Source organism: Homo sapiens, chromosome 10, assembly GCF_000001405.40.
Source record: "Homo sapiens chromosome 10, GRCh38.p14 Primary Assembly".
Lineage (NCBI taxonomy): Eukaryota > Metazoa > Chordata > Mammalia > Primates > Hominidae > Homo > Homo sapiens.
This window is the reverse complement of record NC_000010.11, coordinates 86,323,113-86,336,517: the sequence shown is the minus strand read 5'-3', so window position 1 is coordinate 86,336,517 and position 13,405 is coordinate 86,323,113. Positions and strand designations below refer to the sequence as shown.

General features: G+C 48.2%; 1 protein-coding gene across 1 annotated transcript in view, besides 3 other annotated features; it reads left to right on the top strand.

Moving 5' to 3' along the window:
* Positions 1-13,405, top strand: part of GRID1 (glutamate ionotropic receptor delta type subunit 1) — a 767,244-nt gene that overhangs the window by 30,278 nt on the left and 723,561 nt on the right. The window lies entirely within an intron of this gene.
* Positions 3,723-4,222: an enhancer, noted in NCBI's record as "H3K4me1 hESC enhancer chr10:88092053-88092552 (GRCh37/hg19 assembly coordinates)". NCBI's record gives its function as "activates a minimal SCP1, AML or CMV promoter by ChIP-STARR-seq in naive H9 embryonic stem cells {active_cell/tissue: H9 hESC(naive)}" and the evidence as "EXISTENCE:reporter gene assay evidence [ECO:0000049][PMID:30033119]".
* Positions 4,223-4,724: an enhancer, noted in NCBI's record as "H3K4me1 hESC enhancer chr10:88091551-88092052 (GRCh37/hg19 assembly coordinates)". NCBI's record gives its function as "activates a minimal SCP1, AML or CMV promoter by ChIP-STARR-seq in naive H9 embryonic stem cells {active_cell/tissue: H9 hESC(naive)}" and the evidence as "EXISTENCE:reporter gene assay evidence [ECO:0000049][PMID:30033119]".
* Positions 5,856-6,820: an enhancer, noted in NCBI's record as "H3K4me1 hESC enhancer chr10:88089455-88090419 (GRCh37/hg19 assembly coordinates)". NCBI's record gives its function as "activates a minimal SCP1, AML or CMV promoter by ChIP-STARR-seq in primed H9 embryonic stem cells {active_cell/tissue: H9 hESC(primed)}" and the evidence as "EXISTENCE:reporter gene assay evidence [ECO:0000049][PMID:30033119]".

Genomic DNA, 13,405 nt, shown 5'->3' with positions numbered 1-13,405 from the left:
GCCGGGTTGTGGACATACACTTGTATTTCTTCTTCAGCTGCCTGCTTGGGCTCTAGAGGAGACCCGGAGCTCAGGGTGCCACTGCTGCAAGGAGCACTGACATCCTTAGAGGCCCCCACTCCCAGCCTTCTGTTTCCTGGATGTCACGGTTCTTCCATTCCATCATGAAATCCTGTCCAATTCCTAAGCGTGTGCTTGGCCAGGGGCTGGGGATTACAGTGATCAGCCTTTAGCCTCTGCCTCTGCCATTGTGCACCCTATTAGTGTTTCTATGTGTTATTGTGTACATTTTATTGCAAACACTGTGAAACAATCTCCTTCTTAGACACAACACTGGACAAGTAAGTCCAGTGATCAGACTCCTAGGAGAGCAACCTGGAGTTGTCTGTGATAGAGACACAGCCTTCAGAAAGGTGGAGTGGAGCAGCCCCTGCCGCCCTTCTGTCTTCAATGTTTGGGATCAACAGGTGTGATGTTCATGTGACTCCTGGATTCCTGCCCCTTCACTGGCTGGTTAGGCCCCATGGAAACCATACTCAGCTGGACTAGGGTGAGAGGGCCCCTCTAAGGGTTTACCCTGTGTTGGGACCAGGCCAGGTTCCTGCATACCCAGTCCCTTCACAGTCTACCCAGTTGTGGGGCAGGTTGGAGAGGGGTTCTTTCATGAGCTTTAGAGAAGTGGCCATGGGAAGTGTGAGGAGTTTGAAAGAGTCAGATACTTTCAGAGTGTTGTCCCAGCTCTCCCCTCCATGGCCATTGGCTGGGCATCTCTTCATATAGCTCTCAGCTGTTTGTCAAGGGCCTGCTGTGTGGAGGTCTCCATGCTGGATGCAGGGGATATAGCAGTGAATGAGAGAGACCTCATGAGTGTGTTTCTTCATATCTAAAATAGGGACAGCAATGGCCACTTTCCAGGCTGGGGAAGAATAGAGCAGTATGTCCCAGATTGAATTCTGTACAACTGATTTTACTGAATATTGCAGGAGAAAACAGCCTCTGTGGCCAAATACATATGACCCAGCCAGATGCTTCTCTTGAGGACATCACCACATACATCAGCATATTTAAGGCTCTGAGAAGTCCTGCAGTAAAGAAGCCCATTAACTTTTGTGAGCTCAGTGTTTGCAGGCTCAGTTGAACATGGAACTTTATTTGGCAGAGCACCTATTAACATCCTGTGTAATTAGTGCTTTGCAAAGCCCATTTTGGAAATGCCAAGGCAGCATAGGTAAAATACCCCACAGAGTGCCCAGCACCTGGGAGGTACTCAATAACTGTGAGTCTTTCCCCCACCTGGCATCCTGGAGGAGGCAGAGGGATAAGGCAGCCCTGGCTGGCTGCAAATCAACTCGGAGGAGCCGACAGTAGCTAACACTCTGGTTTTAATGGTTATAGCAATGAAAGTCTAAGTGAGTTTAATTTTAAAAGGCAAGGAGTGATTTCCCCTATGCTCTGCCAAAATGGGACTTCATAAATATTACAGCAGGATGTGCTAGGTGGTGGGCATATCTCCTGGTTGAGCAAAATCTCTGCAAAGCACCATGCAGCAGCAAATGGCTCCTCCCAAACCACACTCCTATTCTTGTTTAGCAGGACATGCCACTTGACAGGTTTACCTGCCAGCACCGCTGGCTGGCCAGGAGATGGCAGTGGATTTAACAGGCCTGTGTTCTGGAAGTGGGGAGGGACTGAGGCTGTGGGAGGGCTCTGCAGACCCGGCCACATCCTCAGCCTCCCAACCATGGTCCATTATCAGGGAGCCTCGGTTTCCTCCTCTGGAACATGGGGATGATTATGCCCAGCATTGTGTGTGCCTTGAAGTAGGGACTGCATTTTTCTCCCCTATGTCCCCAGAACCCAGCACAGATGAAAGTCAGAATTGGGTTTTGAAGGATGAGTAGGAGTTTCTTATGCATACAGTAGAAGAAGGGCATTTAGACAGATAGCCCTAAATGCCTTTCTTCTACTTCAGGTAAAAAGGTGTGGAGGCCTGAAAAAGTCTGACATGTGACACGAACCATAACCAGGCAAGGAGCGTTAGTCATAATTGAGCAAGTGACAGAAAACCCTTTTCACTTGGGTTGCTTAGGGCAACCTTGGGGATCTGCTTTCTGTGCCAGAAGAGACACCTGGAAGGAAAGCATGGTGCATGCGGAGACAAAGGCGATCCCCACCCCCATCCACTCTGGGAACTGCTTCACTTCATCTAGACAGCCAGCAGCAGCAGTAAATGAGGGAGATGGAACGTGTTATTTTAATTATATACTCTCACCACCTAATTATAATTTTAATTGATATGTGAGCAGGTGCTATGCTCTTCAAAGCAGTTTAAGGCAGGCATAGTCCCCGGAAATGGAACACAGTTTGTTCTATTCATTAGTCAAGCAGATGGATAGGCCAGGGGACTAGGGGGCCAGGTGTGGGGAGGCAGCCTTTGCCATGAGTGATGTAGGAGGTGAGGGGCTTCCCCTGGCCAGGCAGCGCACAGCTTGAGGGAAGAGGAGAGAAGGGAGGGGGTGGCGGCTGGCATCTAGTGCTAGTGGGTTGATTCATTTATTCATTCAGCTATGCAGTTGACCCTTAAACAGCATTGGTTTGAACTGTGTAGGTCCATTTACACAAGGATTTTCTTTCTCCTCTCCCAACCCTGAGATAGCATAACCAGCCCCTCTTATTCCTCCCCCTCAGCCTACTCAATGTGAAGACAACAAGAATGATGATCTTTATGATGATCCACTTCCACTTAATAGTGGAATAGTAAATATACTTTCCCTCTTCCTTATGATTCTTTTCTCTAGTTTATTGTAAGAATACAGTATATAATACATTCAACATGCACAAATATGTGTTAATAGACTGTTTATGGTATCAGTAAGGCTTCCGGTCAACAGTGGGTTATTAGTAGTTAAGTTTTTAGGGAGTCAAAAGTTGTACTCAAATTTTTGACTGCATGAGGGGTCAGCGCCCCAACCTCTCATTGTTCAAGTGTCAACTGTACTTTCAACAAACATTTGTTCACAGCTTGCTGCAAGGCAGGCTCTCTGCTAAATGCAGGGGATTCCAGGATGGCTCCAGCACAACTCCTTTCCTCAAAATGTTCCCAGTCTAGTGGGGAAAGTATAGATATGGAAACAAATATTTATAGTTCATGGAATAAATGGGAAATTATCCTAGAAGCAGCATAGACTGGCAGGAAAGTTTTGCTCTCTAGTGAAGTTAGGGAAGGCTTCCTGAAAGACACTTTAGTTGGGGTTTTGAAATGTGGATAGGAGTTGACCAGGTTGCCTAAGATGAGAGATAAGAGATGGTGGTGGGAGATGGCATTCTAAGCAGAGATGAGAAACCTCCATCTGTGGGGTGTGCAGGGAGTGCCTGGTGGTTTGCTGGAGCACTGGCCTGATGGGAGATTTGGTAGAAGATGAGGCTGGAGGTTTGAGTGGTAGGTGGGTCTCCCAGGAGCAGGAGCTGGACCTCATACTGATAGCAGAGAGGAGCTGGAAGGATTTGAAGCTGGGGGTGATGTGATGGGTTTGTGTTTCTGGGAGGCCACCCTGGTGGAAGGTGGGCTGGACAGGCTGATGGTGCAGCCAGGCGGAGAAGCGAGGAGGGGCTGTGTGAAGGTCAGAGCAGGAGCTTGGAGGTTGGCTTCTGGGTATTGGAGTGAGGGAAGGGGAAGATCAGGGTGAAGGTCACGTCTACGCTTGGGCCTCAGGGAGGCCATCTTTGAGATGAGGAGTCAGGGAGGAGCAGGGGAAGATGTGAGGTCGGTGTAGACCATGGAGTTTGGGGTACTTGGGGGACCTGGGTGAAGCCTCAGGAGGAGAGGGGTGTGCTGGAGGCATCACTTCGGGAGTCACTGTGGGAAGGCAGGGAAGGAAGCCCCAGAGGGGATGAGGCAGGGGCCTGGGACACAGTGTCAATTCCAGGGAGCTGAGTTCAAGTGGGAGTTTGGCTTTTAGGAGGCTTATTGGGGGTGACATTGGGATCTTCACCTGGGGAAGGCAGGGAAAGGAGTCAGGCCAGGCAGGACACAAGCCAAGGGGTGAGAGGCCATCCCAGGGGAAGCCCCAGCAGACCCCTGGGAGCTCTGAGGCTGAGTGGCCCTTCAGAGGCGTTCTGAGCTGCAGGGAGAGGGTTGGACCCTTCATACCTCATGCCGCTGAATCCTAGGGGGTCCGTCTAGAATTCTCCTTCAGGAATGCATCCTCTTCCTCTCCAGGGGCTGTTCTTGCCCTCCCTTCACCGTCCTGGGGCAGCCCCCTCCTCCAGCAGGAAGTTGGCCTGGATTCTGGAGGGGTCAAGGAGGGGCTGTTAGGAAGCCAATCCAGCCATGGGGGTGGAGAGGCCAGGGACGGCCCCTCTGGGCCCCACCCTGCCATTGGCCAGCTGCATGACCTCGGGGAAGTCACCCCTGGCCTGGACTCGGGGTTTCCCATCTCTGAAATGAATGGTCTCACATTGGCAGGTGCTGTGGTGTTGCAGGCGTGCCCTGAGCCCTGCAGCCTCCGTCTGGTCTGTCCTGACTGTCGGTTTCTGCTTTCTGTGTCATTCCTGTCCAACAGGATGGCCAGTGTCTCAGGCAGTAGGCCCGTGTCTGATACATCTCTGCACACCATACAGTTCCCAGTCTGACCTGGCAGAGACAGCGGCTGGATGCTCATCACTGGAGAATAGGCAGTGGCTTTGCTTTTACTGAGCGCTTGTTCTGTGCCAGACCAGTTACTAGCAGTAGGTGTATGTTTCTCATGGCAACTTGTCTGCAGATGAGGAAATGGAAACTCAGACACTTGGTACCTGCCCCAGGGACCAGAACTGGGATAGAAGTGACTGCTGAGCTGGGGACCCAGGCTTGGTGACCCCAAAGTCTGAACTCTTTCTGTTCCCCCTGCTCCTGGGGTCCCAAGTCAGTGTTTTGGGGAGACTAGGAGTCTCTGTCTCTCCAGCCCTGTCCAGTGGAGGGCACTGGTGGAATGTCTGGCACTGTGTTGACTCCAGCCCTCCAGCTTCCAATGGGGTTGTGGGCACTTTGTACACCTTGTGGAGAGGGTGGGGGCATCACAATTGCTACCAAGCCCACATACTGCTCTGGGCCACCCCCTTGGCTGCACACGGAGCTGCTCAGGCTCAGCAGGTAGTGGCCTCCCTGGGTAGTTGGGGAAGGGGGGCTCTGCAGGCTGGGAGGCCCTGTCAGGACGGCTCTGTGTGCCTCCTGCCCCAGCCAGGGCTGTCTAGCATGGGAGTCCAAGGCTGGAATGCCCAGTGAGAACCTAGGAGCCACTTAAAGAGGCCATGATACTCTGGGCGGCTGGCAGAGAGGTGAGGGATGGGGGAAAGGTGGAATTAGCAACACATCCCGTGGGCCAGGCCAAGCCAGCAGCTCTACATGGGTGACGATGATCAGCGATGGGCTTCCAGATGCCTCCTGCATGTGCCATCCCTGCCACAGCCTCCCTGGATTGTTTATGGTGGGACCCTGGTGGCCCTTCTCTCATGGTGTTCCTGGGGAGGCCTGGGGCATGCAGCCTGCCCTTCCTGTTCCTTCCTTGCTCACTAGTCCTGGCCTCCAGGCCCTCCTGCCCCTTGGCTGCGGGAACTTGCTGTGGTCCCCTAGCTCTCTGAGGCTAAGCTCCTGCAAGGTGACGTCTGTGAGATGAGCCATCACCTGCCAGGGCAGTTGTACCAGGTCTGTGGTGTGCCCATGTGCAGCGGGCTTCCTGGACGTGCTGCTCCTGTCTTATGTGGCTTGTATTTGCCAGGAAACCTACTTCCCTCGGCATCTGGCCTCACCTGAGATTTGCTGTGAGCCACACCAGGATTATTTTCTAGCTTCTCCTCTTCCTGGCTATGTGGCCTCACACAAAGTATGAAGGTGATCTTGGCCTCTACTTGCTGCTCGGCGCTGTGGGGACGGATCCTGATGGCAGCCTGTGGTTGGGGCAAGAACGGGGTGAGATGCTGTTCCCGGTGCTTGGTCAGGGCTTGGAAATGGGCGCATCCACCATCAATGTGACTGTGCAGTCTCCAGGGGTCTGCTCCTGGCCATCTGTCTTGAGCCCTGGGCTGTGGGTGGGCTTGCTGGAGGGGAACTGAAAGAGGGAAACGTGTCCAGCCCTGGTGGCATTGCCAGCCTGCTGGACCCAGCGTCCAAACTTGTGGGGTGGCCAGGACCTCCTGCCTTCTGCAGAGGCCTCCTTTGCCTGCCTGAGGAGCTTGAGGGGAGAGGAGCCCCAAGGAAGGCTGGTAAGAAGGTAGGGAGGAAGGGAAATTGGCGCACTGCAAGAGGGAAGGGTGTGAACCACCCCCGAGATGGGAATGGTGAGTCTGGGGTCAGCAGGAAGGGCTGAGGCCCTCCCCGGGGCTGGGGATGCAGAGGAAACAGAGATGCGCTCCTGCCCTGGGGGAGTCACGGTCTCGTCCATGATACAGGCCCTGATGCCTGACGCTACTGGGATGGGGGAGGGGAAGGACTTTGTGGGGAGGCAATGAGGGGAGGAAAGTCCTGCTGGCTAGCTCAGCATGCAGGGAGGGAGCCCATCCTCGAGATCAGAGTGTGGGAAGTGGCACAGGAGCTGAGGAGAGGGCTGTGGTGGTCAGTATCTGGGGTGGGTCATGCTTGGCCTCACAGGCTGGCCTGGAAGGGCACCAGTGATGCCAAACTGTGATGTGGCCTGGTTTGCTTCAAGGGAGGTGGCCACCTCCAACTTCATAAGGAAGATCCAGGCTCTGGGTCCTTGGGGTTGGATTCTGAGTTGTCCAGAGCATGAGCAGGGGTAGACTGGCAGGCCAATTTGAGCAGAGACCCCCAGCAGGGCCCTTCTGCTGAGACTTTGTGTCTGGGACCTCTGGGTTCTGCCAGTTGGCTGGTTGGGGGTCAGGGGTCAGTCAGTGAGTGTGGACCAGGGGATGGTCACAGAAGGTAGCATATATGTTCAGAAAGGTCATTTGGGTCATTCTCTCATTGCCAGCTGAGGGAGTCTGCACACTCGGCCCACCCCTATCCTTTCACCAGTAGGCAGGGGGCTCCTTGCCAAAGCCCTTCTCAGGCTCTGGTCCATGGACATCAGCGGGCCCCCTTCCTCCTGGCTTCCATGGAGGCATATTGGGGTATTCACCCAGTAACCACATGGGCTGTAGACATCTGGCTAGTTGGGGTTGGCGGTTGTTTGTAACCACAGCATGTTCACTTGCCTTGGAGGGCCCTAGAGGAGGGCCCATGGTATGACAGCTGGGGAGAGGCAGCCTGGCCAAGGCAACCTTGTGGACCCTGCAGCAGGCAGCATGCATGTCTGTGGTCAGCGGGGCTGGCCAGGGCAAGGGAACCAGGCAGCCGCTTTATCACTTTACATTAGAGGGCTCGGGAGGGATGCCCTGAAGCTGTCCCTGCATGTGGGAGGCAATGCTGGCGGATATTTGTCTCACACCCCTGCTTCTTTCTCTGAGCCAGGGCTTTGCTTTCCTCCTGGCCTTCTTGGATATGGTCACCCAGCCCATAGTGACAGGGCTTTTGGGCTTGAAAGACACTCAGTCCTTATAGCCTTGGGTGTCCCCAGTTCAGCCCTCAAAATCCCAGGTCTTGGACTTACTCTCTTGTCAAGTGCTATACAGGGAGGTAGAGGCTGGGGGTGGGGTGACCCGGGGGTCCTGGGAGGGCCTTAGAGCTAAAGGGCCTCATGCAGAGTCCCCAAGTCCTGGGAGTCTCACAGCTTACAGGAAAGGTGAGTCTGAGCATGTTGGTGGGGGTGGAGGGGGGAACGGGGTTCTTGCCAAGCACACATAGAGTTCCAAGGCTCACTCTTGACCTGTGAATCATTTCTGGGGATGTGAGATAATCTATAGGGAACCTCTCCTTAATGGAGAGTGGGGCACCAGCCAGCTGCACATAAAAGTGCTTCCTGAATTTTTCTGATTGTAAAAGCAATATGCGAGGATCACGGAAAAATGAGGACATGCGGAAAAGCCCATGAAAGTGCTTCGGTACCTGGCAAGATAAATGCTGCCAGGAACCCAGCCATGCAGAGCACCGCTGCTCATGGCTTCCAGCCTCTCCTCTTGCAGACTTCTTCACATGGCTGAGCGCATACCATTCACTCAATTTTGTCTTCAGCCTTCAACTTTAACACTTTTATTTCTTTAAATGTCACAAATAATACACAAACACATCTCATTATGAAAGACTGAAGAAATAATTAAAAGAAACAAAAGGCCCGTTTCCTGCCTCAGAGGGAAAACTGAAATCAGCTTGCTCTATATTCCAGCAGAACTTTCCCTCTGTGTTTACATTTAGAGAAATGTAACCTACACACATAACAGAATAAGGAGTTTTGCTTTCTTTTTGTGTGTTTTGTATATATAAATAATGCTGACTACACCTATTTACTGCACTTGCTTCTTTTCATGCACCAATGTCTTGGTGAGCTTGCTGTGCTATTTCATATAAATCCACCACATTTCAAACAGAGTTTCATGACATACATGAAACTGTGAATACATATTTAACAGATACCCCCCCTTAATAGATAGTTAGGTTGTTTTTAATTTGCACAATAACAAACCATATTGTCATGGAAATCCTTATATATGCCTATGTATCTAGGTGGACTCTAAGTTGTGGAATTGCTTGTCTGAATAACATGCACATTTAATTTAAAAATGGCTTCTGCCAAATTGTCTTCCAGAAAGTGGAATCAATTTGCACACCCAGCGACAGGGTAAGAAGAGCACCCACTTTTTCACATTCTTGCCAACACTTGATATTATCAGTCTTAATTTTTGTCAGTCCAATGGCTGATAGGCGGTACCTCATTGTTATTTTCTTTTCCATTTCCCTAATTACTGTGAGCCTTCTCTTCTACCTAACACATGCAGTTCTAGCAGATCTTGTTAACAGAAATATCATCTTGTTTAATTTATTTATCCTAAGAGTTCACTGCAAACACAATTAACAATGGCATTCTTCTCCAGTAAGATACAGCATTTAATGAGCTCAGTGATAAAACTTCCGAAAGAGCAGTATATAGGTGTCCATGACTCAATATTGGCATTGATTGATTGTGAGTGCTATTGTTCTCATGTGGGTTTGCTCTGCTTTTTGGCTGCTTGGGGAAATTCTTTAAGATGCTGTTGTCCAATGGTGGGGTCTCTGGCAGTGGGCAGAGTAAAGTCTGCCGTCCTGATGAGGGCATGCTGGGTAGAGATAACTAATATATAACCAGTGTTACAGCAAGACCCTTGGATCCTCTAAGCAGTGGGATTTTAGGCTCCATATCTAACTCAAAATAACAACAGCAGTAAACTATAGCATAAATGTAAGGATGTCCAACAAAGGTGTTCATTTTCGCAGGATGACTTACTTTGAAATCAAATTCTTTTTGTTGTTGTTTTTGAGATGGAGTGTTGCTCTGTCGCCCAGGCTGGAATGCAGTGGTGCAATCTCGGCTCACTGCAACCTCTGCCTCCTGGGTTCCAGTGATTCTCCTGCCTCACCCTCCCAAGTAGCTGGAATTACAGTCGCTGCCACCATGTCTGGCTAATTTTTGTTTTTTTAAGTAAACACAGGGTTTCACCATGTTGGCCAGGCTGGTCTCGAACTCCTGACCTCAGGTCATCCACCCGCCTCGGCCTCCTGAAGTACTGGGATTACAGGTGCGAACCATTGCGCCTGGCCAAAATAAAATTCTTTTAAAAATGTGTTCTTGTTTTAGGGCCCCACTTGGCTGGTTTCCTCCTGGGTAACCTGGCACCTGCTCCACTCTTGTCTCCAATTTACCACGTGATGTGCCCACAGCTGTGGCCCACACCTCCGACATTATGTGCATCCATGGGACTTCAGCTCCCTGATTATTGCAACCTGGCACCATTTGCTTGGTCCAACAGTACTCCATTGCTTCTCTTCCAATGGCAAATTGTTCTTCTCTTTATTTGATGCTCTTTGGTCTCTCTATGGCTTTAAATTTTAATTTTGGTCTTATGGACGATTTGAGCTGCCTTCTACTTTTTCATTAAAGTTTCCCTCCGATTTTTCAGAATTTGTTCATGTGGTTCAGACCGTTTTACCCTTCTTCAAACTTTCATACATTTGATTAGGTAAATAAGTGCTCAGTAAACACATGCAATTCTTGTGAGTAGACACTAGCTACTTCTCATCCACTACTGTTGGCAATTATACATGAAAATATATGTCTGTCAGTGGGTGCTTTGAATACATAGATAAGGCAGGAGCTCCCATCTTCATAATATGAACAGTTACCAACCCGGGGCATAGTGTGTCTCCCCATTTATTTTGGGTCTCTTTAATGCTTTTAGTAAAGTTGTATGTTTTTCTTTGTGTAGGTCCTGCCCATTTCTTACTAGGTTTATCCCCAGGGATTTTATTGATTTTATTTCTAATACAAATGAGCTTTCTTTTAGATTACATTTTCTAATTGGGAGTGCTCCCATACACGAAAGCTATTGATTTTTGCATATTGATTTTATATCCTTGAGTTTTGCTGAACTCTTGTATGAGTTCCAATAGTTTATTAGTTAATTCTCTTGGAGTTCATAGGTAGATACCTATATTTGCTACAAATTATGTCAATTTTGTCTGTCCTTTTTCAACACTTGTCCATATTTCTTTTTCAGGTGCTGTCACGTTGTCTGGGACAATGCTAAATATTTTTAGTGGTAGAACATTCTACAGTTTCCCAGTTAAGTGTGATGCTTGTTGTAGGTTTCTAGGAGATGTCCTTTATCAGGTTAGGGTTGTTACTTTTGATCCCTAGTTTACCAAGAATTTTACAAAGAGTATGATTTTAGCCACATTCCAATAGGTGCTCAATTCAAATTAATTTCTGAATAGTTTGAAATTTCTCTTGTTATGTTCTTTTAAGCCAGCAGGTATAAAAAAGAATGTTTTAAGTGTTCTAAGTAGATAGATTGGGAAGGAGGTTTCTTTTATTGTTAATTCCTGGTCTTATTGCATTGGACTTCATTAATGCACAATGAATTTTTGAATACCTTTTTCTTAAGGATTTTACTGAGATTTATACTGTGGAAAGTTGGGTGTACATGGAAGACTGTGCTGTCTCTTTTGGGTCTCGAGAGGGAGCATAAGTGGAGGTTGAGTGTACGGGCTTTGGGGCCAGTTCCTGACTGGAACCCTAGCCCTGCCTCCTGCTGGCCGCAGGATGGTGAGTGAGTTGCTGGAAATCAGTTTCATTGTGTACAATGCGTGGGACAGTAGTGCCTACTTCATGGTAGTGTGTAAGGATGATATTAGTTAATATATGCAGAACTTTAAACCAGAACTTAGAATGTAAGTATTTAATACAATATTGTTAGGTAAACGTATACAAGTGAGATGTGCAAATCTTTCATATTATTTTTTGCTCACTGAATCTGAAAGAAAAATGTTAAAATCATCTTTAAGATTGTGGATTGGTTGGTTTCCCCTTCAATTATTGTTAATTTTGCCTTATCTATTTTGAAGCTGTGTTGCAAGGTTCATATAGTGTCATGACTTATATTTTTGGTGTAGATGGTGTCTTTTATCAAAATGAACTCTCCCTGTTCCTTTGAGTGCTTCCACCTTGAATTCTATTTTGTCTGATAAACAGCCCCTTTTTCTGGTTATTTTTTGCTAGGTGTTGTTTTTCTCATCCTATTATCTTGAACCTTCCTGGGTGTTTGTTTTGTATCTTTTGTAAAAAGTTATGTCAAAAAAAAAAGTTATGTCATGATGAAAAAAATCTCATTTTTTTTTGAAGATTTTATTAGCATAACTTAATCTATTTACTTTTATTGAGATGATTGATATGCCTGGACTTTTCCTTGCCATTTTATTTTGTGTTTCTTGTTTGCTATGCTTTCTTGTGCTACTTTTGCCCTTTCCTGCCTTTTATTGAATCAACTGTGTTTTCTTTGTCCAGGTTTTTGTTCCTTAAAGCAGTTTTCTCAACAGCGGCCCTGTGTCCTTTGGGTGGGACTGTTCCTTGGGCTGTGGGAGTCTTTGCTGCACCACAGGGCGTTTGGCATCCCTCACCCTGGACACTAAGCTACAGCAGACTCCAACCGTCTTGTGACAACCAAAAAGTCCCCTCCCCCTTTCTCCCAGTGGAGAGCCATCCACTAAGGGTTCAATAATACATTACATGTTTGTTTTTCTAGTGACTGCTTATATGTTAAAGATACCTTTATGTTTACACGTGTCTCTCAACGTATAATCAGTGTCTCCTGGAACAAATTGAGACCTTTCTATGCCTCAATGTCCTTCTGCCCCGAGCTGTATCACTACCTAACATGAGGCCAGCTGGGATTTTAGTTCCAAATTTTAATAGTTAATAAAAACCAATTTTTTTTTTTTGAGATGAGTCTCACTCTGTCACCCAGGCTGGAGTGCAGTGGCACAATTTCGGCTCACTGCAATCTCTGCGTCCTGGGTTCAAGCGATTCTCCTGCCTAAGCCTCCTGAGTAGCTGGGACCACAGGTGTGCACCACCATGCCCAGCTAATTTTTGTAATTTTAGTAGAGATGGGGTTTCACCATGTTGGCTGGGCTGGTCTCAAACTCCTGACCTCAAGTGACTCGCCCACCTTGGCCTCCCGAAGTGCTGGGATTACAGGTGTGAGCCACCATGCTGGGCCTCAATAAAGTTTTAATGATAAGTTTTAGTTTTTTCTCACTACTGCTTTTGCATTCCACATTATGTTCTTTGATTCATTTTTAAAAATTGTGGTAAAATGCACATCACATGATTTTAACCATTTTAAAGTATACACTTCAGTGACTTCCAGTACATTCCGATGTTGTGCAACCATTGCCACTACCTAATTCCAGAACATTTTCATTATCCTGAGAAGAGACCCTGTACCCATTGAGCAGTCACTCCAATTTCCACTCCCCCGGCCGCTGGCAGCCACTCACTTCTCTGCTCTCTGGATTCATTTTTGTGGTTGCTGGAGCATACCGTTTGGTAATTCTTTCCAAGAGGGTTTGTGGTGGTGAATTTTCTGTATCTTCACATTTCTGAAAATGCCTGTTTCCTTCCTAAAAGCTGAGTAGAGAATTTAAGGTTTATGCCATTTCTCTCCTAAGCTCTTTGGAGATATTGTTTCATTGACTTGTATGCATCCATGTCCTCAGGAACAGTGACTGCTAAGTCAAATACAGTGTGTGCTCTGCACCAGTGCTTTATACATAGTAAGTCATTTAATTCTGCTGACAACTCTGTGAGGTCGGGGCTGCTCCCCACTTAACAGGCAGAGAAAGTGAGGCTGAGTGAAGAGAAGCCCCACATCCCTTCAGCTAGGAAAGAGGCCACCCCGGCTCTCGAGAAGTTGCCATCTACTGCTGCAGCTTCTGCTCCTCTGTAGGCAGGCTGTGTTGTTTTCTGGGATAATTTGGCATTTTTCCTTTCTCCCTTTGATT